General features: G+C 47.4%; 1 protein-coding gene and 1 long non-coding RNA gene across 5 annotated transcripts, besides 1 other annotated feature; one reads left to right on the top strand and one right to left on the bottom strand.

The window, feature by feature from the left end:
• Positions 1,671-1,730: an enhancer, noted in NCBI's record as "active region_1874". NCBI's record gives its function as "activates an Ori minimal core promoter by ATAC-STARR-seq in GM12878 lymphoblastoid cells {active_cell/tissue: GM12878}" and the evidence as "EXISTENCE:reporter gene assay evidence [ECO:0000049][PMID:35858748]".
• HAPLN2 (hyaluronan and proteoglycan link protein 2) lies at positions 1,864-26,085 on the bottom strand. Of its 4 annotated transcripts, XM_017002020.2 has the most exons (8): positions 26,010-26,085; positions 8,054-8,131; positions 7,431-7,571; positions 4,014-4,122; positions 3,429-3,782; positions 3,122-3,238; positions 2,806-2,988; positions 1,864-2,488 (listed from the first exon to the last, which is right to left on the bottom strand). In XM_017002020.2, the coding sequence occupies exons 4-8, from the start codon at positions 4,096-4,098 to the stop codon at positions 2,205-2,207; spliced, it is 1,023 nt and encodes a 340-aa protein (XP_016857509.1). In that variant the 5' UTR covers positions 4,099-4,122; positions 7,431-7,571; positions 8,054-8,131; positions 26,010-26,085; the 3' UTR covers positions 1,864-2,204. The 4 variants fall into 4 exon arrangements, with proteins under 4 accessions (XP_016857509.1, NP_068589.1, XP_011508155.1 ...); NM_021817.3 differs by lacking the exon at positions 26,010-26,085 and having other exon boundaries at positions 8,054-8,174; XM_011509853.3 differs by lacking the exon at positions 26,010-26,085 and having other exon boundaries at positions 7,431-7,530; positions 8,054-8,174.
• Positions 5,661-12,847, top strand: LOC101928177 (uncharacterized). The gene is made up of 2 exons (NR_135113.1): positions 5,661-5,709; positions 12,512-12,847. It is a non-coding gene; the product is annotated as an uncharacterized LOC101928177 (long non-coding RNA).
• Positions 26,086-26,089: the final 4 nt, after the last annotated feature.

Below are 26,089 nucleotides of genomic sequence, written 5' to 3'. Positions count from 1 at the left end.
TGGGTGGGGCCATGTGATTAGTTCTGGCAAATGAGTTGTGAACTGAAGGGACAGGTGTCACTTCTGGGTGGAAGCTATTAATTGCCTTTGTGAAACCCTGCAGAGCTCTTATTATTTTTTCCTGCTAGTGTGGTGACTGACAGTATTCAAGATGGTGGCTACTCTATCAGCCTGTGTCCCTGAATGACAAAAATAAGAACTCCCTTTTTGACCACAACGCACGTGTAGCCTGAGTGAGAAATAAACCTTTGTTATTTTAAGCCACAGTATGAGTTTCCTATCTTTTTTTTTTTTTTTTTTTTGAGATGGAGTCTCGCTCTGTCGCCCAGGCTGGAGTGCAGTGGTGCGATCTCTGTTCACTGCAGCCTCCGCCTCCTGAGTTCAAGCAATTATCCTGCCTCAGCCTCCTAAGTAGCTGGGATTACAGGCACCCGCCACCACGCCTGGCTAATTTTTATATTTTTAAAGTAGAGACGGGGTTTCACCATGTTGGCCAGGCTGGTCTCAAACTCCTGACCTCAAATGATCCGCCCACCTCAGCCTCCCAAAGTGTTGGGATTACAGGCATGAGCTACCGCACTGGGCCTGATTTTCCTATCCTTAATAGCGCAAACACTTCTGGGAGGTCTGCAGGCTGCACGTTTTGAAATATGTTTAAGTCATCTTATATTTGTTATCTGAGATTTGGGAGTTGTTTTCACAGCATAATCTACCTGATCTTGACTAATATAGTGCCATACGACAACCAACCCTTCAGGCTGCCTGATAAGAAGCTGAAAAACTACTATTGTTGCCATATTACTGTAATCACAATAATTATTAATTATTATAGGTACCACTTGAGTGCCTATTATGTGTACCAGGCATGTACTACCCAGTACATGCAATGCCTCAACTGATTCTCACAACAAACACAAAAGACAAACATTATTATCCCTTGCCAAGATGAGAAAATCAAGGTTTAGGAAATGGCACAAATATCTCATTTGCTGCATGATGGTTATTGAAGACTGTTCATTCTATCATTCTCTGTCCCTTATATAATGTTCCATGGGATGAATTTTCTTTAGCAATTATAGCAAGAACCCCCTTGGAAATCAATTTTACAACATATATCACGCACCATTAGCGTGTTCGTGCCCTTTGCCCCATTCATTAGTATTATCTAGCTCAGGCTTTTTTGTAGTATAGTTAGAAACCTATGTATATACACACCAATATATATGTGAAAAGTGAATTAATAACATTAGAATTTGTCTCTTGAATTGCTAGTATGTTTCCTTTAGCCACAGGTTAAGAATGTTACTTGTCCAGTTCCCCATTTGCCTTGGTGGCCCTGGTGTTTGGTATTTGCCTCCGCCTTACGCAAGGTTAATTTCCTGTCAATTCTAGCAACAATATGACTTTCCTATCTTTAACAGTAGTCCCCGCAAACGCTTCAGGGAGGTCTGCAGCCTGCACATTTTGAAATATGTTTAAGTTGTCTTATATTTGTTATCTGGGGCACATAGGGTGGGCCTGGTGGCATGGGGCGCCCCTGGCAGATTTGAACTAATCTTAGGTGAGTGTGCGGCGCCCCCGCGTGGCGCCTGGCGCAACAACATGCTGGGTTCTGCGTGGGTCCTGGGCCAGGCGCCCACTACGTCTCCACTTCTCTCTCTCCCTTGGCCTATTGGTGCCCTCCGGCCGCACTCCCGCTCTTCCGCTGACCCATCCCTTAACAGCAACAGCCCTGCCCCTTACCCTGTCTTAGGTGCTCAGTGGGCACGCAGGATCCCGGGTCATCAGCCCCGACATGAGCGTGCACACACACACACACACACCCCTCCACGCCTCGCAGCTCTTACAGCTCCACCCAACACAAAAGATCCCCAGGTTATTTTATTGCTGTACTCAGAGGTCAGTTAATGCCCCCGGCCGCCTCACCCTCCCCCCGGCGGTGGCTGAGTCCTCTGCTAGGGTTCGCGAACGGCAGCGGGTCCGAGGGTCACCTCTGCATCTCGCCGCCGGAGGCGCCCCCGCCTCCCCTCCCCGCCGCCGGGCCAGCCGGGGTCCGAGGCCCGCAGCCCCCGGCTGGGAAGGCAGGTCTGGAGAGGCCGCTCCGGGTCTGGAGGGAGGGGAGGCTCTCCGGAAAGGGGTGGCGAGAGACCCCCGCCACGACTCCCAAGCTTCTTCGCGCGCGCTGGAGGGGACACGGTGGGCGCCTAATTCTCGGCGTAGCAGTAGGTCCCATAGGCTGCCTGTTGGGGCCTGGGGAAGCCGAAACTGCGCACTCCGGGATCCGGGAGCCCCCCGCAGCGCGGCCTCGGCGTGGTGATTGGGAAGCGCACACTGCCGTCAGCCAGCCAGCCGCCGTCGCACTGGTCTAGCCCCGAAAACTTCCAGGCGGCGTAGAGGTGCCCAACCTTGGCCACCACGGCGCCGCGTCGCCGGCACGCCGCGTGGGCTTCAGACAGCGTCAGCCGCCCGGGCACGAAGAACACTTGGCCTGGGGACCACAGCGGGTCACCGACCGAGGGCAGGGTGGGCGGAGAGGGGCGGCTGACACCCAGGAGGCGGAGTTGGGGTGCGGGACCGCAGAGGTGCTGGATCGAGCTTGGGTAAGAGGAGTTGGGGGATCGAGGCAAAAGTGCAGGGAGGGTTTGGAGAGGTGAGCTGGAGCCTGGGCGGGCGGGCGGGCTGATGGGGGGGCGGTGCCTTGGAGGGACCCGGAGACCCTGCCCTGATCTCAAGCTGAGGTCCACTCCTCGTCCCCCACATTTTTCAGACCCCTCCCCAAGACCCTGCCTTCGTCCCGCGCCTCACCCGCCAGCGCGGAGGTGAAGCAGAAGGCGTCGTAGCGGTCGCGCATCCGGTCGCGGGGTCCGTAGCTGCGGATCCCGGGCCGGCCTCGGCCGCCGCACGGGGCGCGTGCGGTGAGCACAGGGTAGCGCACGGAGCCCTCGAGCAGCCAGCCCGCGTTACACCAGTCCAGACCCTCGGTCCAAGCTGGCGGGAGACGGCGGAGGTCGGGGATAAGAGGCGTCATAGGCAGGAGCCAGACTGAGCTCGCCTGGCGCCCTCTCTCGGGCCCCTGAGACAGCTCCGCGGGGCTTGGGAAGTGCTGGGTTCGGCCGCTCACCCTGGTAGAGCTGGGAGTAGGTGGCCAGGCGTCCGTCCTGCTCCTCGCACGCCTGCTTCGCCTCGTAGTAATTGAACTGGTACCGGCCCCGGCTGGGTTGGTACGGAAACACCACACCTAGGGGGTGGCGGGGATCCTGGGGAGGGCCAGCGGATGGGAGCGGAGGGGGAGGAAGGGCGGCGCGGCCTGGGAGAGGGAGCTGGGGTCCCCAGGGGTGCGGAGGAGATACTGGGAAGGAGCCCTGGGAGACCCAGGCGAGGCGGACCCGCTGCTACACAGGAATGGGGCGGGAGCGGAAGGGCCTCACCCTCCAAGCTCAAGGTCAGCGCCACGCTCTCGTCCTCGATGCCGTTGATGAGCTCGCAGCGGTACCGGCCCTCGTCCTCCAGGCGCACGCCCGCGATGACCAGGGAGGCGTCTAGTCGATGCCCCCTCCGCATCCTGGCGCGCCCTCCCAGGGGCCCATACCCCCGGGCGTGCAGTCCGTTGGTGATGAGGATCAGCGTTTCCCGGAGCTCCCCAGGCTCCACCTTGCTCCAGCGCACCTTGTAGCTGGGAGGCGTGGTGCCCAGGACGCAGGGCAGCGTGGCCGTGGCCCCACGATGAGAGTGAATGACCTCGTGGATGGGGGGCAGGAGGTAGTGGGGGCCCGGGTGGGATGCTGGGCAGAGGGGGCCACAGTGGCAGGAACCCCCAATCCTCACTGCCCCAAGTGCCCATCAGACCCTGCTCCCCAAATGCTTTCTCCAGAGCCCCCCAACCCTCTCCTCCATTGCCTTCTCAGCAATGACTTTCAGTCCCTGGGTACCTGCAACAACTGCCCTTTCCCCTTTCCCCACCCTTGCAGTCTCCCCAAGCCTCCCCCAGATTCTGGCCTGGGCTGGGGTCTTACCTGGGTCTCCTTGGGCTTTGTGGAAGATGGTGAAGGCCCAAAGAAGGAAGCGGCAGAGTGTGGGGAGGGTGAGCCAGCCTGGCATGATGGGGGGTCAGCCCGGCACCGTCTGCAGGGCACAAAGAGTGGGCAGTTCTTAGGACTGGGGCAAAAGGGTGGGGAAGAGCAGGGTTGTGGGTGAACTCCCATCAGAGATCCTAGAAGGGACTGTCCAGCTGGAAGCCACTGGGGCAGAGAAAAGGGGTTGGTGACAAAATGAAGGTGATGAGGGGAAGAAGGCAGTAGCAATCCCCTTCCTCTCCCTCTCTTCCTCTGTCACATCCTCTCAGCCTGCAGGTACTAATTTAGCATCTTCTCTACCTGTCCCCCTCATCACAAGTGCTACTTCCCAAGCTTGCCATCTGGACTGCCAGCTCGTCTCTATCCTCTCCCAACACCCATTCTCCATCTTGAAGCCAGAGTCAAAATGATCTTATCACTCTCCTGCTTTTTTATTTTATTTATTTATTTATTTATTTATTTATTTATTTATTTATTTTTTTGAGACAGAGTGTTGCTCCATGGTCCAGGCTGGAGTCCCGTGGCATGATCATGGCTCACTGCAGCCCCTAACTTCCAGCTCCAGGTGATCCTCCCATTTCAGCCTCCTGAGTAGCTGGAACTACAGACATGTGCCACCACACCCAGCTAATTGTTTCTTTTTAAGTTTTTAGTAGAGACAAGGTCATGCTGTGTTGACAAGGCTGGTGCTGGGATTACAGCAGGCGTGAGCCACCGTGCCTGGCCTTGTCACTCTCCTGCTTGAAAGTGACTCCCAGTTGCCCTGAGGATAAAATCCAATCTCATAACCACAGCTTCCAAGGCTGTCTATAATCCAGTTGCTCCCTGCACCTCCAGCATGGTCCCCGCCTCGCCTCTTAACCACTTTGGCCTCTGCACTGTTCCCCTGACATGCTGGATTTCTGGCAGTTTCCCACACAGTCCAAGTTTGCATTCATTTCCTTTCCTTTGTGCCTGCATTGGTCGCACAGGCCTCACCTCCTTTGGGAAACCTTTACCCACCCCCAGTTTGCCACACTGTAGTGCACTGTGATCTGCTGGACTGCGGACCTTTTTTTTTTTGAGACAGGGTTTTACTCTCTCGCCCAGACTGGAGTGCAGTGGTATGATCATGGCTTACTGCAGCCTCGCCCTCCCAGACTCAAGCCATCCTCCCATCTCAGCCTCCTGAGTAGCTGGGACTACAGGCGCACACCATGAAACCCCACTAAATTTTTTTCTTTTCTATTTTTTGTAGAGATGGAGTTTCAGAATGTTGCCCAGGCTGGTCTTGAACTCCTGGGCTCAAGTAATCTGTCTTGGCCTCCCAGAATGCTGGGATTACAAGCATGAGCCACCACACCCAGCCAGGACTTTTTTTGTCTTACAAGTACTTTTATTAGCACCTAAACTTAACAGTGTGAATTTGAACATAATATGTATCCACATATAGATACAGAAATTATGAAGTTAAAAAATATAAAATTATAAAGTTATTTTTAAAAACTACTTCAAATGCAATTATCTATTTCAGTACTGTAGTTATTCCCCCCTTTAAATTTGTTTTGTGTTTTTTTTTTCTAGATGGAGTCTCGCTCTGTTGCCCAGGCTGGAGCACAGTGGCACGATCTTGGATCACTGCAAGCTCCACCTCCCGGTAAAAAAAATTTTTTAATCAGATACAGGGTCTTACTAGGTTGCCCAATTCCTGGGCTCAAGCAATGCTCCCACTTCAGCCTCCCAAGTTTGAGCCACTGCACCCAGCTCCTCCTTTATTGTAACATTCTTTTTTTTTTTTTTTTTCTTTTTTCTGAGAGGGAGTTTCACTCTTGTTGCCCAGGCTGGAGTGCAATGGCACCATCTCAGCTCACTGCAACCTCCACCTCCCGGGTTCAAGCGATTCTCCTGAGTAGCTGGGACTACAGGCACCCACCACCACTCCGGGCTAATTTTTGTATTTGTAGTAGAAACAGGGTTTCACCATGTTGGCCAGGCTGGTCTTGAGAACTCCGGACCTCAGGTGATCCACGCTCCTTGGCCTCCCAAAATGCTGAGATTACAGGTGTGAGCCATCGCCTCCAGCACCTATTGTATCATTCTTATCCCTCTGACCTTAAAAAAAAAAATTGGACTGGGCCAGGCACAGTGGGTCACACCTGTAATCCCAACACTGGAAGGCTGAGGCGGGTGGATTACTTGAGATTAGGAGTTCAAGACCAGCCTGGCCATCATGGTGAAACCCTGTCTCTACTAAAAATACGAAATTCAGCTGGGCGTGGTGGCATGCACCTGTAATTCCAGCTACTCGGGAGGCTGAGGCAGGAGAATCGCTTGAAACCAGGAGGTGGAGGCTGCAGTGAGCCAAGATTGTGCCACTGCACTCCAGCCTAGGGGATAGAGCAAGACCTTGTCTCAAAAAAAAAAAAAAAAAAAATGAAGACTTCTTGACTTCACTGCATTCGTTTTCCAAATCTGGCTACTCTATTTCCTAATTGCATGACTATGCATAAGTTAATTATCATGCACAAGTTCCTTAACCTCTCTCTGCCTCAGTGTCCTCATCAGTGAAATGTGGGGAATAATAGCACACCTACCTCACTGAGTAGTTGTGAGGAATAAATAAATTGATATACGCAAAATGCTTGAAATAGTGTCTGGAATGTAATAAGTGCTGTCTATGTGTTAGCTGTTATCTCCAGTTCCCAGCATAGTTTCTGGTACATAGTAGGTGCTAAATAAGTGTGTATGGTTTAATGAACTTACATTAAGGATTCATGGGAAGATGGGATGGGGAATGGGGAGATGGAGGAAGCACCCTGAGAAGTTGCCAGAAATCTAAAGAATGGAGCTCCATCTTTCTGCAAATGAGGACCAAAGACCAGTTTGCAGTAGGAGAAACGGAGGTTATGCATAGAAAACTTCTCAGTGGTTAAAGGTGAAAGTATCTGGGATGCGAACATGAGCAAGAGAACCACTTCTTTATAGGAGAACTTGATAAGTAAGAATGATCGTGAGGACTGAGATTGACTGAGACCAACAATAATGATAGCTCAAATGAACACGTTTAAAATTGAATGTGCCTGACACTGCTCTAAGCACTTTACATGTATATTTTTATATTTACTCCTCCCAGCAATCCTGAGGCAGAAACAATTATAAATCCTACTGTACACATGCTGAAACCAAGGTGCACCTATTTTAGGAAATGAGGTCACACAGCTAGTAAGAGGAAGGGTTTGCTGGGATTTGAATACAGATCTGACAGTGAGGCTCAAGCGCTTAATCACTAATCTATATTTCTGCATTTCAAAACAGTGCACACACATGCTCTTCATACCTCTTACAGAAAATGAGAGTAGTCAGCAGCCCATTGCCTACCTGTTAGAAGCTGGTCTCTTCACAGAGACGGAGGGAGCAGTGCTTAGCAGCTTTTTGTCTTGCTTGAGGAAGAGGTTCTGGATGAAGGTTTGCCAGGCTCCTGGGAGTTCCAAGCACCTTAAAACCCTGGAACTTGAGCCCCTGTTCAACACAGTTGCTCCTTTTGCACCTTTGAGGAAAAGCTTCTGTCCTGTGCTCAAAGAAGAAGCCAAGGTGCCAAGAACGACCCCCACCCCCATCAGTCCACTAAGCCATGTTAAGAGACCTGTGTCCAGCCCTGTGACTATATCTGTGGAAATCACTATTCCGGGACCAGGGGAAGATGCTGGGGTTGGGATGAGGGCTGGGAACCCATGAAGGGGAGTGGAATAAAGGGAGCAACCCAGGAATGATGACCTGGAAGAGTGCAGAAAGTGAGGTGCTTCATTTTTTCTCGATGCCTTTGAACCAGAGAGGTGTAGATTGATCGGTGGATATGAAGGTGTTGGACTGATGGGGATGGGGATGAACTCTAAATGTGGCTCAAAGATCCATAACTGCCAAGCTCGAGCTGCCTCCCTTTCCATATGCGCCTCATCTAAGCAGCATCCCCATCTCCCCTCTCCCCACAACAGAGTACTCACCTCTGCCCTCTGGTGCCTGAGTGCGCATTGCCTTTGCAAACAGACTTTCAGGTGGGAACTATCCAGGACTTCCAGCTGCTTCAAGAAACCGGACCTCTTCTGTACAACCCCCTGTCTGTCTGTCTGTCTGTCCTTTCCTTCTCAGTCCCCACCCCATCGGAAGCACAATTTCCCATTGTCTCTGTCTTTTCCCCTATTGTTGAATAACAGGGCCCCTTTCTTTATTCTGTGGGTAATGGCAATGAAATGTCAACAGCTGGGGATGTGGGATGCAGGACCGGCTGGCACATACCACCGGAAAAGGGCCTGGGTGGGGGGCGGGCTCAGAACAGGAATTGACATCCCCAAGAAGAAGAGAATAGGGTGAGGGGCAGAGAACGGATGGTGAAAAGGTTGAAATGGAATCTCTCTCAACACTCCAAATTACAGGGCTCTAAAGAGATTTTGTCTGAGGCCAGGGGAAAGGCTGGGCTCCATGAGGGCAGAGGGAGTGGCTAGCATTGCAATAGGAGAGATGGAGATTAGACAGCAAGGAGGATTTTTCTGTCCCTGGGGAGGAACATGAGAATTTCTGAGGACAGAAGGACTTTGGAAACCTCTCCAAAAGAGAAGTTATCTTATTGGTTCCCTAATATTCTACCTCTTCCCTCAGCACAAATAGATAACCTTTTTAAAGTACTCAGAAGGGGATCCTTAATCTTCCTGGATGGAAATTCACTTTCTCTCAAGTCTTTTTTTTTTTTTTTTTTTTTTTTTTGAGACGGAGTCTCGCACTGTCGCTCAGGCTGGAGTGCGGTGGCACGATCTTGGCTCACTGCAAGCTCCGACTCCCGGGTTCATGCCATTCTTCTGCCTCAGCCTCCCAAGTAGCTGGGACTACAGGCACCCACCACCACACCCGGCTAATTTTTTGTATTTTAAGTAGAGACGGGGTTTCCCCGTGTTAACCAGGATGGTCTCGATCTCCTGACCTGGTGATCCGCCTGCCTCGGCCTCCCAAAGTGCTGGGATTACAGGCGTGAGCCACCGTGCCCGGCCTTTTTAAAATTTTTTTTTTAAGACAAGGCCTCTATCTGTTGCCCAAGTAGGAGTGCAGTGGCCCAATCATAGCTCACTGCAGCCTCGAACACCTGGGCTCAAGAGATCTTCCCCCTTAGCCTCGAAATTATCTAGGACTACAGGCGCGCACCACCACACCCGTCTAATTAACTTTTTTTTTTTTTTTTTTTTGAGACAGAGTCTGGCTCTGTCACCCAGGCTGGAGTGCAGTGGCGCAGTCTCGGCTCACTGCTACCTCTGCTCTGCCTCCCGGGTTCAAGCCATCCTCCTCTTTCCTCAGCCTTCAGAGCATCTGGGACTACAGACGTGCGCCACCACGCCAAGATAATTTTTGTATTTTTTTGTAGAGATGAGGTTTCATCATGTTGCCCAGGCTGGTCTTGAACTCCTGGGCTCAAGCAATCCGCCCACCTCAGCCTCCCCAAATGCTGGGATTACAGGCGTGAGCCACCATGCTGGGCCTAATTAAGTCCATTTTAAAACCTTTCCATTGAGGTATAATTTACATACAAAAAAGTCATAGAAATTATGTGTACAGCTAAATGAATTTTTACGTGTGTACATATATTGTACACAGGTAAAAACCCACCAGATCAAGACATAGAACATTTCCAACAATGCCGAATAGGCCCAATTGTTTTTGTTTTCTATTAATGCAGAGGGAGGACTCCCTCCACCTGCCCCTGTAAACAGCCATGTAGAAATGTTTTGAGCTTTAAGTTCCATTTTAGCCTTATTTTCTCTCTGCTGTAGCCCCATGGAAGTAGCTTTGCATTATTAAAACCATATAATTTCATGTTCTGTGAGTTAAAAAAAAAAAAAAAAAGAGGCTGGGCACTATGGCTCACACCTATAATCCCAACACTTTGGGAGGCCGAAGTGGGCGGATCACCTGAGGTCAGGAGTTCGAGACCAGCCTGGCCAACATGGTGAAACTCTGTCTCTACTAAAAATACAAAAATTAGCCAGGCATGGTGGTGTGCGCCTGTAATCCCAGCTCCTCGGGAGGCTTGAGGTGGGAAAATCGCTTGAACCCAGGAGGAGGTTGCAGTGAGCTGAGATCGTGCCACTGCACTCCAGCCTGGGCAACAGAGTGAGACACCATCTCAAAAAAAAAAAAAAAAAGAACCATACCCTTTCAGAACTGGAGACCTCAGGATGCTGAACATTTACTAGAGGAGGAGATGGAGAGGAAGGTGGCTTGCCCCAAATCACGCACAATACAGTCATTGAGTCAAGCCTAGAAGTTTCTGCTTTTTCCACTAATCCTCTTCTGCCTCTCTCCTTGGCTGTCCAATTCAGACAAGCTCCAGGTTTTCACTTGGGCCATATCTAATAATAGGAAGCTCACCTTGAATATACTTTTCTTTCTTTCTTTCTTTCTTTTGAAACAGGGTCTCACTCTGTCACCCAGGCTGGAGTGCAGTGATACGATCATGGCGCACTGCAGCCTCGACCTCCCAGGTTCAAACGATCCCTCCCACCTCAGCCTCTCAGGTAGCTTGGTGCACAGATGTGCACCACCACACCCAGCTAACTTTTAAAAATTATTTGTAAAGACAGGGTCTCCCTATCTTGCCCAGGCTGCTCTCAAACCCCTGGACTCAAGTGACCCTCCCTCCTTGGCCTCCCAAAGTGCTGGGATTACAAGCATGAGCCACTGCACCCGGCCGACTATACTCTTGAGAGATCTGATTGACTATCTTTTCCCTATCTACTCCATCCCTGTTCTTAAGCGCTTCCCTCCTCCTCCCACGACTGTCTCTCTCATGAGAGAAGACAAATAGCCCCCTGTCTCCTTGGACAGGACACCCTGATCCAGTGCATCTGATTGGCTTCCTGCCAACTCAAACAAACAGCCTCCGGCAGAGGGAGAAGTAGATATAAATGGCTCCACAGCCTGGCCACTGCATCCATTCCCAGGCTCATTTCTCCACAAATTTACTGTTCCTTTCTCCACAAATCACTTCTGAACTGTGGCTTGGAAGTCTCTGGTATGTAAATCCATAAAAGGCTGAGTTTGATGGGGAGGAAAGCCTAGAACTATTTGACAGATGCAAAAACAACCCAGTGAGGACAGAATGAGAAAGGAACAGACAGGAATACATATAATGAATAGCCAAACTGTGTTTAGTTTACTCAAGGTCACTTTCATTCTCAGTTTCCCCCCAGACGCTAAAATGGGAGTGGGGTGAGATGGCTGAGACAAGCTGGGGTCTCCTCACTGACCCAGCATCTCTGAGGAAGGGCTTTGTCAGTCCTATACCTACTGACCAGAGTGTGGTGGAGTGATTCCAGACAAGCACGGAGTCCCGACATCTCCTTCTCTAACACCCACACTCGCTTCCACCATCCAAGCAGGTTCAGCTGGCCAGTTTTCCTGACCCCTGGTGATGGCAAGCATGGCCCCAGTTTATGACTAGGATTGTTGTGTGAATGACTGGAAGGGCTGGCAAGATGACACTTTAGGGAGGACTTTAAAAGGCATGGCTCTCTTTGGTCTTTCTCTTTCCAACATTTTTTTAATAATTTTTTTTAACAGATGGGATCTCTAAAAATTTTTTTAAGAGATAGGATCTCTAAAAATTTTTTTAAGGGATGGGATTTGGCTGGGCACGGTGGCTAATGCCTGTAATCCCAGCACTTTGGGAGGCCGAGGTGGGCGGATCACAAGGTCATGAGTTCAAGACCAGCCTGGCCAGCATGGTGAAACCCCATCTCTACTAAAAATACAAAAAGTTAGCCGGGCATGATGATGCGTGCCTGTAGTCCCAGCTACTTGGGAGGCTGAGGCAGGAGAATCACTTGAACCCAGGAGGCGGAGGTCGCAGTGAGCTGAGATCGCACCACTGCACTCCAGCCTGGGCGATAGACCAAGATTCTGTCTGAAAAAAAAAAAAAAAAGAGAGAGAGAGAGAGTGAGATGGGATCTGTCTCTGTGACTCAGAACTGCAGTACAGTGGTGTGATCATTGCTCACTGCAGCCTCAAACTTCTGGGTTCAAGTGATTCTCCTGCCTCATCCTCCTGATTAGCTGGGAGTACAGGCGGGCACCCCCATGCCTGGCTTTCCAGCATTTCTCCAGGGCCAAAAGGCAGCAACATTGAACTCAGCCTGGTGCTTTATTTGGACGCTCTCCTAGACTCCACTCCTGGCCATATATAGAGGCCTGAAGTATGCAAGGCTTACTCCCCAGAGCGTGCAAGGTAGAACTCTGCAGTACAAACCTTTACAGCTGCTGGGCATAGGAGACCTTCTAGTAGAGGACAGGAGGCTTGGGTTCTAGTTACAGTTCTGCCACAGTGTCACCTTAGGTGACACAGGCCCAGGCTTCGCTGCTGGGCCTGTTACTTCATCTGCACAATGGAAACTCAATTCTATTTAAATTACTTTCTAAAGGGCCTCAGTCTGCAGAGACACAGAAGCAAATGATTGTATGAAGCTCCTGACTGTATGAAGTTCTCAGTCAAACAAAATAGTACCTCTTCTGCCCATCTCAGAGGTGGATAAGGATAAAGTGAAATAATGGAAAGCACAAGGAACAGTAAAAGGCAAATGTCAAGAAGCTGTTTGCAAAGTTACCAAGATGTAAAATTAGATTTTACTTATTAATAATCATGTCACTTGTCATTCTGTTTATAATGGTCAATTCACTGCTGATATTCAAGTGGACCGTTTAAACTGTATTTTTGCTCAGCTATCCCTCCAAATAAATATCTCAAAATCTTGACTGTTTATTTTCTTAGCCCATCTTATTTTCCCAGGCCTCAAAGCGTGGCTTCTCAAATCCCTGGCTTGTCTTCTGATTCTGGCCAGTCTAGGTGGGGTCTGGCTTCAGTTTGTACAGATTCTCACTCCCAATCTCATATTGGTCAAACAAACCCAGAAGTAAGATCTACACGTATTAATCAACCATTCTCAGACCAGGATTGGAATAATTTGAAAAAGTGAACTCTGGCTGGGTGCCGTGTTCACACCTGTAATCCCAGCACTTTGGGAGGCTGAGGCGGGTGAATCACGAGGTCAGGAGATTGAGACCATCCTGGCCATCATGGTGAAATCCATCTCTACTAAAATTACAAAAATTAGCTGGGTGTGGTGGCGCGTGCCTGTGATCCCAGCTACTCGGGAGGCTGAGGCAGGAGAATCGCTTGAACCAGGGAGACGGAGGTTGCAGTGAGCTGAGATTGCACCACTGCACTCCAGCCTGGTGACAGAGTGAGACTCTGTCTCAAAAAAAAAAAAAAAGTGAACCCCAACTTATAGCTGTATGTTCTTTCACATGGGAGAAATAAACTCTATCACAGTATTATTATTCCCATTTTATAGACCAGGAAAGTGATGTTCAGAAAGGGTTAGTAAGCTAGTAACTTGTTCAAGTTCATATACTTACTAAGTAACCCAGGTAGCCTATCTCTAAAGCTAGATGAGTTCTTCTTTGCTGTGAAAGAATAATTTCTTGAAACTTGGAAATGGTAAAATTGAGGATTTTTTTATATATCACACTAGAGCATTTTTTCTTTTTTTTCTTTTTTCTTTTCTTCTTTTTTTTTTTTTTTTGAGAAGGAATCTCACTCTGTCACCCAGGCTGAAGTGCAGTGGCATGATCTTGGCTCAATGCAACCTCTGCTTCCTGGGATCAAGTGATTCTCCTGTCTCAGCCTCCCAAGTAGCTAGGGTTACAGGCGTGAGCCACCACACCAAGCTAATTTTTTGTATTTTTAATAGAGACGGGGCTTCACCATGTTGGCCAGGCTGATCTCGAACTTCTGACCTCAAGTGATCTACCCGCCTTGGCCTCCCAAATTGTTGGGATTACAGACATGAGCCACCACACCTGGTCTAGAGCATTTTCTAATAAGTTTGCTTGACACTCATCTGACTCTCCCAGGGAATGTGACTTTGTTGTCACAGTACATTTGATAAATAATCTACAACTTACAAATGCACAGACATTTATAGTCCTGTTGGGTAAAGGCTAACCTGCAGAACTTGATACAATGATAGGGTTTTATTGCCCAATTGAGAAGTTAATCACAAAGGGGTTTTGGTTTTACTGTGCTAGAAAGTTAGCCAGTCCTATATCTAAATTATCAATCTAATTTTGACATTCTTTTCTTTTTTTTGAGACGGAGTCCCACTCTGTCGCCCAGACTGGAGTGCAGTGGTGCGATCTTGTCTCACTGCAACCTCTGCCTCCCGGGTTCAAGCCATTCTCCTGCCTCGGCCTCCTGAGTAGCTGGGATTACAGGTGTGCACCACCACGCTCAGCTAATTTTTTTGTATTTTTAGTAGAGACAGGGTTTCGCCATGTTGGCCAGGCTGGTCTCGATCTCCTGACCTCACAATCCGCCTGCCTCGGCCTCCCAAAGTGCTGGGATTACAGGCGTGAGCCACCATGCCTGGCCTGACAATTCTTTTCTTATTGACTGTTTAAATTCCTGTTTCTCAAATCCTCCTCAAAGCAGCTCTTTTGTCTCCTTATTGGTTCTCTCATTAATGAGTTCAATAAAATGATGACATGAGTTAATGAATAACAAAAAAGTTTGAGAATTGTGTTTTTCCACTTCTCAACTTCCCTTTATTGAGGGCAACACACTAGCACCCTCCGCTTCCCTTTAATAATAAATCCACTGGCAGAATTACTGCAAGAGTTTTTAGGAAGCTGAAACTCTTGGAAGGGTAGGACCACTTTGTATCTCCAGCATGCAAGGAACCAGCTATGAACTCCAAGATGAAGTGGCCATTATCAGCAAGACTCCTCTGCAAGTCCTTCGCGTAGCTAAGGACAGCTTTAGTGTTTGCTGCTCCCGTGAGCCACCATTTCCTGCTCCTCAGTCCCACTAGCAACATCAAAGAGACTTTAGGTTCACCCATTTGTGCTTCCTCCGGGAAGCTTTCCTTAACAGAAGCAAGAAACAGGAGCCAGGAGCAGTGGCATGTGCTTGTGGTCCCAAATACTTGGGAGGCTGAGGCAGGAGAATTGCTTGAACCCAGGAGTTTAAAGCTGCAGTAAGCTATGATTTAGCCACTGCCCTCCACTCTGGAAGACAGAGTGGGACCACTCCTCCCTCCAAAAAAAATATCCAAACAAAAGGAAGAAGCAACTTAACAGCTTCACCTGGATATACCAGACATTCAGAAAATGTTTACTGGCGGGCGCGGTGGCTCACACCTGTAATCCTAGTACTTTGGAAGGCAGAAGCGGGTGGATCACCTGAGGTTGGGAGTTCAAGACCAGCCTGGCCAACATGGTGAAACCCCGTCTCTACTAAAAATACAAAAATTAGCTGAGCATGGTAGTGGGCACATGTAATCCCAGCTACTGGGGAGGCAGAAGCAAGAAAATTGCTTGAACCCTGGAGGCGGAGCTTGAAGTGAGCTTGAAGTGAGATCACGCCACTGCACTCTGTCCTGGGCAACAGAACAAAACTCCGTCTCAAAAAAGCAAAACAAAACAAAAACCCAGAAGATATTTTCTGAATAAATAAATAAAATTGAAGTTTTCTTCCAATTTCTGCAAGTTTAACAAAAAGGCAGTATGGAGTAGGGGTTAAGTTCCACAGGCTCTGTTCCTTCTTTCCCTGTGCACAAAACAAACTAACAAAAAAGTTCCATATCCTCTGGGTTGAAAGTCTAAGCATAAATCTCAGCCCTGCTACCTACTAACGAAGGAATATTAGATAACTACAGCATTGATAAGCAGAACAGTGCTTGGCTCATAGAAAGTAATCAATACATTTTAGGCATTATCACTGGTAGGGGAAGAAGTTTCAAAGGGAACAGAATCAATCAAAACACAGACAGCTACTGATTGATTGAAGGGATCACCTGGTTTTTTTGTTTGTTTGTTTGTTTATTATTATACTTTAAGTTTTAGGGGTTTTTTTGTTTTTTTGTTTTTTGTTTTTGAGATAGAGTTTCGCTCTTGTTGCCCAGGCTGAAGTGCAATGGCACGATCTCAGCTCACTGCAACTTCCACTTCCCAGGTTCAAGTGATTCTAGTGCCTCAGCCTCCCAAGTAGCTGGGATTACAGGCGCGCATGACCACGCCTGGCTATTTTTTGTATTTTTAGTAGAGACAGGGTTTCCCCATGTTGGCCAGGCTGGTCTTGAACTCCTGACCTCAAGGGATCTGCCTGCCTCGGCCTCCCAAAGTGCTGGGATTACAGACGTGAGCCACTGCCCCTGGCCTTTTTTTTTTTTTTTTAGGGTCTCACTCTGGCCCAGGCTGGAGGGCAGTGGTGCGATCATAGCTCACTGCAGCCTCGACCTCTCTGATCCTCCCGCCTTAGCCTCCTGAGTCGCTAGGATTACAGGCGTGTACCACCATGCCTAGCTGATTTTTGTATTTTTCTGTAGAGATGGGGATTCACCAGGTTGCCCAGGCTGCTCTCAAACTCCTAGGCTCAAGGGACCCACCCACCTTGGCCTCCCAAAGTGCTGGGATTACAGGTGTGAGCCACCATGTTTGGCCACCTAATTTTTAAGAGGACATAAAATCCATACACACATGAAAGTCATGTTCCACTTATGATTTTTATGTTTGTTATGAAACAAAAGTAATATCATTACATATTGAAAAATAATTCAACCACTATCAAAGGAATAAAATGAAAAGTAAAATTTTCCTTTCCTTTTTTCTTTCTTTCTTCTCACCGCCCCCAGGAACAACTGAACCATTATTAGCCTTCTGCTGTATCTTTCCAGAAAAATATTTAAGAATCTACAGGAAGGTAGATAAATGGAAACATACATCATACATATATTCTAACCTGAGATCATGATATACAAACCGTTTCCTACTTTTCTTTTTTTCTTTTCTTTTTTTTTTTTGAGACGGAGTTTTGCTCTTGTTGCCCAGGCTGGAGTGCAATGGCGCGATCTCGGCTCACTGCAACCTCCGCCTTCCTGGTTCAAGCGATTCTCCTGCCTTAGCCTCCCGAGTAGCTGGGATTACAGTCTCCCGCCACCATGCCTGGCTAATTTTTTTGTATTTTTAGTAGACACGGGGTTTCTCCATGTTGGTCAAGCTGGTCTTGAACTCCTGGCCTCAGGTGATCCGTCTGCCTTGGCCTCCCAAAGTGCTGGGATTACAGGCGTAAGCCACCGCGCCTGGCCTCCTACTTTGCTTTTCCACCGAATAATATGATGTGAGCATTTGTCCTATCAGCACATGACATCAAATTCTCTCATTTTTCATGTCTGCATAGTATTTCAGTGGGTGGCTGTAGCATTATTTGTTTGTTTGTTTTTGTTTTTTTGAGATGGAGTCTTGCTCTGTCACCAGGCTGAAGTGCAGTGGTGCGACCTCAGCTCATTGGAACCTCCACCTCCTGGGTTCAAGCGATTTCACTGCCTCAGCCTCCCAAGGACCTGGGATTACAGGCACGTGCCACCACACCCAGCTAATTTTTTATATTTTAGTAGAGACGGGGTTTCACCATGTTGGTCAAGACGGTCTCCATCTCCTGACCTCATGATCCGCCCACCTCGACCTCCCAAAGTGCTGGGATTACAGGCGTGAGCCACTGCGCCCAGCCTGTATTTGTTTTTTAACTTTTATTTTATGTTCAGGGGTACATGTGCAGGTTTGTTCTATAGGAAAATTGCATGTTGTGGGGGTTTGGTGTATAGATTATTTTGTCACCCAGGTAGTAAGCGTAGTACCTGATAGGTAGGTTTTCAATCCTCACCCTCCTCCCACCCTCCTCCCTCAAGTAGGCCTGGTGTCTATTGTTCCTTTATTTGTGTCCGTATGGAGCATAATTTATTTAATGAGATGCCTATTGATGGACATTTAGGTTGCTAAAGGTCGCAACAACTAGTTATCTGGAAAAAGAAAACAGCAGATCTATAACTGTCCTTAAACTAAAATCCAGAAGGCTCAAAAATATAAATGTAAAAATAAGGCCATCAAAATGCCAGGATGAATCATAGAATAATAATTTTTTAATTGGAAGACTACTTGGATTAATTTTTTACTGATTACACAATGATGCACTTAATTGTAGATAATTTAACAAACATAACAACATTAAAAAGTGAAAAGCCCCCTTAATCCTACCACATAGAGAAAATGACTTTTAATCTTTTGTTGTCTTTGCAATCTTTCAAGGCATTTATATACATTCATATAAGATGTGTATGAATATATTTAGCCATGATTGAAATGGTAACATGTAATAAGGCAGAGAGCCAGCAGGTGGGGCAGGAAGGCTGTATCCCCAGTGCTGAGGGCCCCTGCAGCGTTCTGGGCGCTGCACCTGGCTCAGGTCCTGTGCATGTTTAGGGGATCACCAGGTGTCCGTGGTGGAGGATGCTCAAAGATAAAGATGCTACAGCAGAGCCCTCAAAGCTCTGGGGGCATCCTTCAGACTCAGCGCTTCAGACCTCTGTTTTTCCTGTGTTCAGCTAAGCTCTTGTTCGAAGGGAGAATGAATAAGGCTGGGATTCCTTGGTGTTCTTACCATCACGGTCCTCCTTCCCAGCTCTACTCCCACTGGTGTTGGTGTTTTCTATACTGCCCCTTTCAGAAATTTTTCCACAGCATCTTTACTGATGTATCTGGAAATATGTCGTATGAAAAACATAAAAAAGCAACCCAAATGGGTGTGTCTGCTACCTTGAAACCTGCACCCTCTAGGAGAACTCTAGAAGCGCAGCAAGCACTGCAAAAGAAAGAGGGCGGGTGGATCACGAGGTCAAGAGTTCAAGATCAGCCTGGCCAAGATGGTGAAACCCCGTCTCTACTAAAAACACAAAAATTAGCCAAGTGTGGTGGTAGACACCTATAATCCCAGCTGCTCGGGAGGCTGAGGCAGAAGAATCACTTGAACCTGGGTAGCGGAGGTTGCAGTGAGCTAAGATCATGTCACTGCACTCCAGCCTGGGTGACAGAGTGCGACTCTGTCTTTAAAAAAAAAAGTAAGGAAAGGAAGGAAGAAAGAAAGGAAAGAAAAGAAAAGAAAAGGGCCCTGCTATACCCTGCCTCCCTTCTTGGCATCCTTCACCTACACCATGACCAGCATTTACACACACTGAAGGTTTTAAAGGAGACAATGAGGCCAGGGAAAGGCAGAGACAAGACCCAGAGGGACAGGGATGCAGGTCAGAGACAGGGCTTCATCCAGATCGGAGAGAATGATGACACCAAGGGGCAGATGGCAATAGGGCTTTAAATAGAAATAAGTGTTCAGCTGAACCTGCACTAGATGGCATCAGAGAGCAGCAGTGATAGTGCTGAGAGCACGTCTCATTCCATCTCTCTCTGTGCTCTGTCGGCCCCTATTTGTAGGTAAGCACAAATCTGGGCAATATTACAGTGAGACTCAAATATGGTAATGTTTGTGAACATGATATTCTAAACTGTAAACCACCGTGTGAAAATTATTTTAAATAGTAAAGTACTGTTGGCAAGGGATCATAATATCTTTATTATCATGAACTCAAAGGGTTAATGAAGTCAGAAAATTAGAACCTGCCTAGGCTAAGGATTGAATCCTGTGAGACACAGGCTCACCTTTTTTTTTTCCTCAACAGAAAGAAAAGTGAATAATATTCGAATAGGTAAGCATTGCCAGTATTTGCTATATAGATTTTTTTTAAAAATCCCACACTCATTGCAACCACAACATATTTTCTCTTTCCTCAGTCTCAGGGTTTACTGACAGAAAAAATAACTGGGAAGAAGTGGAGGAAGATAAATTGTGTACTAGTTTATGAATCATGGGGAGATGCTGGCTTGGCCTGACTTTTATAACACTATGTGTAGATTTAAACCCAGTATAGAAAAATAACACAGTGCCTTAATTTTTAGGATTCAATTCTGCTCCAGGAATTTAGAGAGGCATTCAAGGTTTGGTAGTCAGTCTCAGGGACCACACATACTTCCTCCTGAAGGTCTTCCCCTGGGGCCAGTCATATGCACCTCACCTCTGCCCCACCTCCCTCAGCACTCAGGGGCTCTCATTTGTAACCATTTCTCTTTTTTTTTTGAGACAGAGTCTTGCTCTGTCACCCAGACTGGAGTGCAGTGTCACAATCTCGGCTCACTACAACCTCCACCTCCTGAGTTCAAGCGATTCCCCTGCCTCAGCCTCCCGAGTGGCTGGGATTACAGGTGCGTGCCACCATGCCTGGCTAATTTTTGTATTTTTAGTAGAGATGGGGTTTTGCCATGTTGGCCAGGCTGGTCTTGAACTCCTGACCTCAGGTCTTTCACCCACCTCGGCCTCCCAAAACCATTTGTTATTTTAAAATCACTTTCCTGAAAAAATAATACATTAATTGTAGACAATTTTAAATGAAGGGAAAATATCTTGTTAAAGAAAAAAATTATTCGATGACACTTGTCAAAGCATGGTAAGGCAGACTTTATTCAGGACCATTGTGATAGGTATAGGGACCATGACAATGGGATTTTGCAGTGGGGGAGAAAGAGAAATTGGGCTCAACTCTCAATACAGCATGGGAAGTATAACTGAGGAATTTATAACTGAGGTGCAGGGTGGGGGTTAGGAGATGGGAAATTATTATGAAAAAACACCAGGGGTAAAGGGGATTTGCATTAAAACCTTACAAGATTCTTGCCAAAGACAGGCTGAGGTAATCAGATATCACCTGATGGATGGTGAAGGATGAGGAACCTGATCAGATATCAAGGGTGATCAGGTATCAAGAGAAGGGGGCTTAGGCTGGGCGCGGTGGCTCACTCCTGTAATCCCAGCACTTTGGGAGGCCGAGGCAGGAGGAATGCTTGAGCCCAGGAGTTGGAGGCCAGTCTGGGCAACATGGTGAAACCCTGTCTCTACAAAAAATACAAAAATTAGCCAGGTATGGTGTGCCACTCCTGTGGCCCCAGCTACTTGGGAGGCTGAGGTGAGAGGATTGCTTGAGTCCAGGAGATTGAGGCTTCAGGGAGCCATGATCACGCCACTGCACTCCAGCCTGAGCAACACAGAAAAACTCTGTCAAAAAAAAAAAAAGTGGAGGGCTTCATGCTAAATTGACTTCACAGGATTCTTTCCTTTTTTTTTTTTTTTTTTTTTTTTAGACAGAGTCTCACTCTGTCACCCAAGCTGAAGCACAGTGGCACAACCACAGCTCAGGCTCCAAGCAATTCTCCCACCTCAGCCTCCCAAGTAGCTGGGACTATGGGCGTGGGCCGCCACATTCAGTTAATTTTTAATTTTAATTTTTAATTTTTTTTTTGAGATGGAGTTTCGCTGTTTTGCCCAGGCTGGAGTGAAGTGGCGCAGTCTTGGCTCACTGCAACCTCCGCCTCCCGGGTTCAAGCGATTCTCTGGCCTCTGCCTCCTGAGTAGCTGGGATTATAGGCGCCTGCCACCATGCTGGCTAAGACGGGATTTCGCCATGTTGGCCAGGCTGGTCTCGAACTCCTGACCTCAGGTGATCCACCCACCTTGGCCTCCCGAAGTGTTAGGATTACAGGCGTGAGCCACCATGCCCAGCCTAATTTTTATTTTTAGTAGAGACGATGTCTCACTATGTTGCCCAGGCTAGTCTCAAACTCCTGAGCTCAAGTGATCCTCCTGCCTTGGCCTCCCAAAATGCTGGGATTATAGGCTTGAGCCACCATGCCCGGCCAACACCATTTGTTGAAAAGACTATTCTTTCTCCATTGAACTGTTTTGGCACTCTCGTGCAAAATCAATTGCCCATAAGCGTATGGGTTTATTTCTGGATTCTCAATTCCATTACATTGATCTATATGTCTATCCTCTTTGAAAACCCCACAGTCTGTAGCTTTGTAGTAAGTTTTGAAATCAGGAAGTGTAAGTCCTACAACTTTCTTCCTTTTAAAGATTGTTATGGCTATTCTGGGCCCTTTGCTTTTTTTTTTTTTTTTTTTTTTTGAGACCAAGTCTCGCTCTGTAGCCCAGGCTGGAGTGCAGTGGCATGATCTCAGCTCACCAAAAACTCTGCCTCCCGGGTTCAAGAGATTCTCCTGCCCAGCCTCCAGAGTAGCTGGGATTACAGGTGCACGTCACTGCACCCGGCTAATTTTTTGTATTTTTTTTTTTTATTAGAGACAGGGTTTCACCATGTTAGCCAGGCTGGTCTTGAACTCCCAACCTCAGGTAATCTGACCATGTCGGCCTCGCAAAGTGCTAGGATTACAGGCGTGAGCCACCATGCCCGGCCTACATTTCTATTCTTTTCTTTTCTCTCTCTTTTTTTTTCTTTTTCAGACGGAGTCTCACCCTATCGTACAGGCTGGAGTGCAGTGGTGTGATCTCGGCTCACTGCAACCTCCACTTCCCAGGTTCAAGCGATCCTCGTGCCTCAGCCTCCCAAATAGCTGGTATTACAGATTCGTGCTACCACACCTGGTTAATTTTTGTAGTTTTAGTAGAGACGGGGTTTCACCATATTGGCCAGGCTGGTCTCGAACTCCTGACCTCAAATGATCCTCCCACCTCGGCCTCCCAAAGTGCTGGGATTACAGGTGTGAGCCACTGCTCCCAGCTGGTCCTTTGCATTTCTATATGACTTCTAGGATGGACTTGTTGATTTATGCAAAAAAAAAAAAAAGCCAGCTGGGATTTTTTATAGAGATTGTGTTGAATTTATAGATCAATTTGGAGAGTATTGTCATCTTAACAATATTGTCTTCTATTCCATGAACACAGGGTATCTTTCCATTTATTTAGCTCTTCCTAATTTCTTTCAATGAGGTTTTGTAGCTTCAATGTATAAAGCTTGCACATCTTTTGTTAAATGTATTCCTAAGTATTTTATTACTTTTGATCCTATTGCCTATGAATTTTTAACATAGATAGGTTCTTACTGTAGGTAACATTTTGTATCTTCTTTTTTCATTTCAATTATATCACAGACATGTACCCAAGCTATTAAGAATTCTTTGGCCGGGCACGGTGGCTCCGCCTTTAATCCCAGTACTTTGGGAGGCCAAGGCAGGCAGATCATGAGGTCAAGAGATCGAGACCATCCTGGCCAACATGGTGAAACCCCATCTCTACTGAAAATACAAAAATTAGCTGGGCGTGGTGGCACGCACCTGTAGTCCCAGCTACTCAGGTGGCTGAGGCAGAATCGCTTGAACCTAGGAGGTGGAGGTTGCAGTGAACCAAGATCGTGCCACTGCACTCCAGCCTGGCGATAGAGACTCTGTCTCAAAAAAAAAAAGAAAAAAAAAAGAATTCTTCAACATCATTGTTGAAGACTACACATTAGTCCATTGTATGTTTACACTGTAATTTATGTAGACTTTCTCCTGTTGTGAGATATTTTGATTCTTTCCAATTTTTCCATTTTATAAATATTACTGTAATAAATATTTCTATGCATCTTGTTATCTGCATTTCAGGCCATTTCCTTATAAGTATTCATGTATTCTTTTTCTCTCATAATGGCCTTTGTTTCTACCCTTGTGAGGAGGTATGAGACCCCATTAAACTGCGAACTCCTTGAGACCCATTTCTCTTGTGATCTCTCATAGCCCCCAGGGACAGGCTGCAGCCTCAGTGACTTCTTCAAGAAGCTCCCAGGGGTCTCAGACTGGGTCAGATGCTTCTCATCTTATCCCCATAGCACTGTGTCCTGACCTTGCCATAACTCTTATTACTCAATGATATAAATGCCTGGTAACTAGTTTAAACCCCCACAAGATCGTGAGGCCTAACAGGACAAGAGATGGACCTTTTTATACCTCTAGCCCTTAGTATATAGGAGACCTTTAATAAATATTTATTGAATGAGTGAATCAGGCACAACAGTGAGCTCAAAGACTTAGGCCAGACTAGGAATCTTGATTCAAAGATTTATGGCCATTAAGTTTTGGGAGTGGCTGGCAAAGTGCATCACACTAAAACTCTAAGTTGGAAAGGGTCCTTGAGGGTTACCTCATTCGGAATTTTAAAACTTCTTATATATTTCATATATATACCTGTATATGTATATGTACATACATACACACATATATGAAATATTCTATATAACATACAATTTTGTATATAATACACACACACATATATTTTAGATAGAAGGGGTAGAAGAGATGGAGAGGTGGGGGTGGGTGGAAATTGAAGCCCTGTCTGTGGAATTTTCTCAGTGGCTGCAGGACACTGCAGCGAAACTCAAGTTTGCCCCGGCACAGTGGCATGCACCCGTACTCCCAGCTACTTGGGAGGCTGAGGCAGGAGGATCATTTGAGCCCAGGAGTCCAAGGCCAGCCTGGGAAACACAGGGAAACCCCATCTCAAAAAAAAAAAAAATTGTTCAAGGTCACACAATGAGTGGCAGAATGGGAAAAGGAGTCAGATGTCTCTCCACAAAATGTTTCTCTGTTGAATCCATCTCTAAGGAATGCCTTTGAAGCATCCCACATCCCTTCTGCAAGTGTCTAAAATTCCAGTAATTAAGATCGATCGTTTAAAGTATTGTCCCCATGTAGCATGTTTTGAAAGTAAAATTAATTTTATGGAAAAAATTATGGGGATGAATGGGTATGACATACAGGGCAATTATGACAAGGCTCTCCTGTGAAATGGCGATTTTTCTGTTTGGAAGTTTCTAGGGGGCGCTAAGTCAACGGAAATACCGATATGGGGAGGCAGAAAAGGATACTTTTCTCGGGTTTTAGTTCTTGGGTGGCTCAGTGAGGCCAAGGAACAGCTTGCAGGGGTAGGGGCATGTGCAGTCCCTTTTGCTGTATCTTCTTTCCCTCCTTTGCTCAATACATCCTCATACCGACAGGGCAAGTCCAAACTCCTCAGCCTGGCATGCATTCTGGGATCCTGCTTTTTTTTTTTCTGGCTCACTGCAACCTCCGCCCTCCCCTCACTCCCACAGCGGGCTGAAGGGATCCTCCCACCTCAGTAGCTGGGACCCACAGGCGTGCACCACCATGCCCGGCTTTTTTTTTTTTTTTTTTTTTTTTTTGGTATTTTTAGTCGGTGTCTCGCCATTTTGCCCAGGCTGGTCTTGAACTTCTGGGCTCAAGCTATCTGCCTGTCTTGGCCTCCCAAAGTGCTGGGATTACAGGCATGAGCCACCGCGTCTCACCCATCCTGTATCTTTCTCCAAGTCCCACTGGCATGTCCTCCATCTAATCCCACTCAAGGTCCCAAGTTTCCCAGGCTAGACTGGGTGTTCCCCTAAATCAAGACCTGTGTCTTATGCGTCTTTTTATCCCCCAGTACCAAAGGGACAAGTTCTGGCACACAATGGTGAGTCAAAAAGTGTTTGATGAGGCCGGTCACGGTGGCTTACGCCTGTAATCCCAACACTTTGGGAAGCCGAGGTGTGCATATCACTTAAGGCCAGGGATTGGAGACCAGCCTGTACAACATGGCAAGACCCCTTCTCTACAAAAAAAATACAGAAATTAGCCAGGCGTGGCGGTGCATGACTGTGGTACCAGATACTCACGAGGCTGAGATGGGAGGATCACTTGAGCCCAGGAGGCGGAGGTTACAGTGAGTGAGTCGATATCGCGCCACTGCCCTCAAGTCTGGGCAACAGAGCGAGACCCTGTCTCAGAAAAAAAAAAAAAGTGCTTGATGAACCTATTGAGATGTCTAGTCTCTAGGCTTTCATAAATAACTGTTCCTGTGAAGGCTGAGTATTCATGAGTATTCAACCCTGAAAAATCAGGACACAGCTATCACCTACTCTGCCTCCACGAATTTCTCAGGCTACTCTCAATGCTTCCCTGGAGTTTTCCTTCCTCGTATTTGCGCCCGGGACTAGCTCAGTGTAGGACGCGGAGCCGTTCTTGGCATCCTGAGAGGGCCAGTTAGTACTGAAGTCCCTTGGCTGCTCAAGGATTGCAGGGATGAGGCAAGTGGAACAGCCTCGGAACCTCCGAAAATGGGCACGCTCCAGGTCCCAGTTTCTATGGCAACCATACCGGCAAATTGGGCTCCGCAATGGTTTCTCCTGGAAAAACCGTGATTTTGGTTCCCGCGGACGTCTCTATGGTTTCGACAG

Source organism: Homo sapiens, chromosome 1, assembly GCF_000001405.40.
Source record: "Homo sapiens chromosome 1, GRCh38.p14 Primary Assembly".
NCBI classification, from domain to species: Eukaryota; Metazoa; Chordata; class Mammalia; order Primates; family Hominidae; genus Homo; species Homo sapiens.
The sequence above is the reverse complement of the archived record's forward strand: the minus strand, read 5'-3'. Positions and strand labels throughout refer to the sequence as shown.